The sequence below is a fragment of the Homo sapiens genome, chromosome 20 (genome assembly GCF_000001405.40).
Source record: "Homo sapiens chromosome 20, GRCh38.p14 Primary Assembly".
Taxonomy (NCBI): domain Eukaryota; kingdom Metazoa; phylum Chordata; class Mammalia; order Primates; family Hominidae; genus Homo; species Homo sapiens.
In genome coordinates this window covers 50,755,833-50,759,836 of record NC_000020.11, presented here as the reverse complement: position 1 = coordinate 50,759,836, position 4,004 = coordinate 50,755,833, and positions in this window count along the sequence as shown.

The window sequence follows — 4,004 nt, the reverse complement described above, 5'->3', positions numbered from 1 at the left end:
GCTGAGGTGGGAGGATTGCTTGAGCCCAGGAGTTTGAGGCTGCAGTGAGTTATGATTGCACCACTATACTTCAGCCTGGTAACAGAGCGAAGAAAAAAGAAAAAAAGCTGCAAGTGATACCCACTGTGTTCCCTCCCCTGTAGTTCTTCCTCTTTCTTGTGGTAACAGAACCCTGATCCCTGATTTTTTTTTTTTTTTTTTTTTGAGATGGAGTTTTGCTCTTGTTGCCCAGGCTGTAGGGCAGTGCTGCAATCTCGGCTCACTGCAAACTCTGCCTCCCGGGTTCAAACGATTCTCCTCCCTCAGCATCCCAAGTAGTTCGGATTACAGGCGTCCGCCACCATGCCTGACTAATTTTTGTATTTTTAGTAGAGACAGGATTTCACCATATTGGCCAGGCTGGTCTCAAACCCCTGACCTCAGGTGATCCACCTGCCTCAGCCTCCCAAAGTGCCGGGATTATAAGCGTGAGCCACTGCACCTGGCTGATCCCTGATTTTTCTTTAGGGGACCATCCCTCCCTCAATAGGTCCAGAATTGGGCCCATGACCCAGACTAGGACAATTAGGAGTTATAGGGATTGGGTTAGGGATGGGCACATGACTGAGACAGGGTCAGTGAGGGTGGTCTCTGGGCTTTGGCTGTCACCATGGGGGAAGACAGGCTCCCTGCCAGGTGGTTGGTAATGTGACGGAATGTTGCCAGGGTTGCTGGAGGCCATCTTTGCCACCATAAGGAGGGACTTGGCCTAAGGGAAAAAAGGTAACAGGGGAAAACAAAAGCAAGAAATGGAGAGGGATTCCAGTTTGTGCTGTAAAATAATACAGTAGCCACTGTCTACATGTGGCTATTAACATTTAAATTAATTAAAATGACATGTAATTTGAAATCCAGTTTCTCAGTTGCACTAGCCACACCTCAAGTATGCAGCAGCCACATGGGGGCTAGTGACTCCCCTCTGGACAAAGCAGAAAATTCTATCAGATGGCACTGTGTCCGATCTGTGCTGAAATCTTAGCCCTGATTTTTCAGTTACACGAGCCAATCCATTCCTTTGAATCTAAGTTAGACGTCAATTGGAGTTAGGTGTATTCACAAGCCAAAGAATCCCAAGGCAACATCCTCCCACTCTGAACACTCTGACTACTGACCAGCCCCATTAGTCACAGATTTAGGTATCATTTGGGTGCTTTCTTTTCATTCAGACCAATGCCAGAGAAAGTCATTACTGAGTTCAGAAATGTGGTTAAGCAAAGGACATTCGAGAATACTGGTGCCAGGTCACCATTTTCTATTGTTTCTTCAAAAGGAAAACAATCAAAGATGCGGAACACATGGATATAGAAAACACATGTCTTTCATCTGGATCCATTCAGGTTTTCTTTTTCTTTTTCTTTTTTTTTTTTGAGACAGAATCTAGCTCTGTCATCCAGGCTGGAGTGCGGTGGCACGATCTCGGCTCACTGCAACCTCCACATCCTGGGTTCAAGCAATTCTCCTACCTCAGCCTCTTGAGTAGCTGGGATTACAGAGGGCTGCCACCACAACCCAGCTAATTTTTCTATTTTAAGTAGAGACAGGGTTTCGCCGTGTTGGCCAGGCTGGTCTGGAACTCCTGACCTCAAGTGATCTGCCCCCCTCAGCCTCCCAAAGTGCTAGGATTACAGGTGTGAGTCACTGTACCTGGCTCCATTCACGTTTTTAATGAGCACAAGAATAATTAGAACATCTCATTTATTTTTTGAGACAGGGCTTTCTCTGTCACCCAGGCTGGAGTGCAGTGGCACTCATAGCTCACAGCTCACTGTAGCCTCGACCTCCTGGGCCCAAGCGATCCTCCCACCTCAGCCTCCTCAGTAGCTGGGACCACAGGTGCATGCCACCATGCCCAGCTAGTTTTTGTATTTTTTGTAGAGACGGGGTCTCCCTATGTTGCCCAGGCTGCTCTCGAACTTCTAGGCTCAAATGATCCTTCCACCTCAGCCTCCCGAAGTGCTGGGGTTACAAGCATGAGCCACCAGACCTGGCAATATATTTTATTTTATTTTTTCCAAATCACTTCTCACTTGATAAACCAATATTGAATCAAACTGATATGATGTACCTGTTGACATGGTGAAATAAAGATATAACATCACCTATGTAATATTCCTGATAAAAACGCATAACTTAAATCTATTTTTTTTTTTTCTTTGAGATGGAGTCTTGCTCTGTCATCCAGGCTGGAGTGCAGTGGTGTGATCCTGGCTCACTGCAATCTCCGCCTCCCGGGTTCAAGTGATTCTCCTGCCCCAGCCTCCCGAGTAGCTGGGATTACAGATGTCCACCACCAAGCCCAACTAAATTTTTTGTATTTTTAGTAGAGATGGGGTTTCACCATGTTGGGCAGGCTTTTCAACTCCCGACCTCAAGTGATCCACCCGCCCCGGCCTCCCAAAGTGCTGGGATTACAGGTGTGAACCACCACGCCCAGCCACTTGAATCTAATTATGAGGAAACAGATAAACCCCAACTGAGGGACAGTCTATGAAACAATTTATCTTTACTGTTCAGAAATGTCAATATTATGAAAGGCAAAGAAAAGCTGAAGAACTGCTCCAGATTAAAGGGGCCAAAAGAGATGAGACAACTCAATGTCTTATTCTGGGTTGGATCCTGGATAAAAGGAAAAAATTTCTGTAAAGGACATCACTAGGTCAATTGATGAGATTCTAGTATTGCTTATATATTAGATAATATTGTAGCAATGTTAACTTTTTTGAATTTGATAATTGGGGTTGTATAAGAAAAAATATAAGAGAATGTCCTTGTTCTTAGAAAATATATGCCTAAGTCTAAAGGGGATAAAAGGGGAGAATCTCTTTAACTAATTCTGAAGTGGTTCAGGAAAAAATACACAGATAGCAAATGAGGATATAACCTGGACAAAGGTTATGCTTTTCATGCAGCTCTTTTCTACGTTGGAAATTATTTCAAAACAAACAAACAAACAAAAAAGCTAGCAAGCAGATAATACAGTACCTTTATTCTCCTTTAGGGAAAAATATGATAGTCTTTCCCATGGCAAATATCTCAAGTGAAAAGTAAAGCACTTCACAGTGTTTTCAAACAGGGCATCCTGACATTGTTTTTGGAATGTTCCAATACACATCCTACAAAAGTGAAATAGAAAATCAGAGCATTTTTCATTACTGTATGAAAACATAGTGTGTGTGTCCTGGATTATAGTGTTCAATGCATTTCTTACTGTGTATTGCAGTTTTTTAAAAAAAATTTTGAGAGACCCTATAACAGGGTGACCCATATTGCAGTCTACCTGAGACAGATCTGGTCCGAGCCTGTTCTACTGGCATAGTTCGTGGCAAACCCATTCATTCTCAAAAGTGTCCCAATTTGGATTATAAATTATAGTCACTCTTATTTTAAGCCACAATTCCTTTTTGTAACAGAATATGGTATGGATAAATGTGCATGGTACTGCCAAAAGACTTTAGCTTTTTCTGTACTTTTTTTTAAATATGGAGAACGAATTTGCACATTATTTATATGACTGAAAATTATTTTTAAAAAGTTATCTTTACTTATGCTGTATTATCTTGTTATCCATCCCTTGGGATTATAATGAACTAGATAATAAGGGTATTAAATTTTCTTTATTTTCTATTACACAGAGAATACTGCTTTCAGAGTAAACTTAATTCCCAAAAGAGAGCTTTTATAAGTGGAAAAACACCTATAGTTTGTAAATAAAATACAAACTCCATTGAATTTTAATATTAACTTATAAAATACAATTGTGTTGTAAAGCAACTGGATAAACACATTAGCTTTTAAAATATTATCTAAGTCTTGTTTTTAGGGAAGAATTTGGTAGACATATTAAGGATCTTTTTTTTTTCTGAGATGGAGTCTCACTTTGTCACCCAGGCTGGGGTGCAGTGGCGCGATCTCGGCTCACTGCAAGCTCCGCCACCCAGGTTCACGCCATTCTCCTGCCTCAGCCT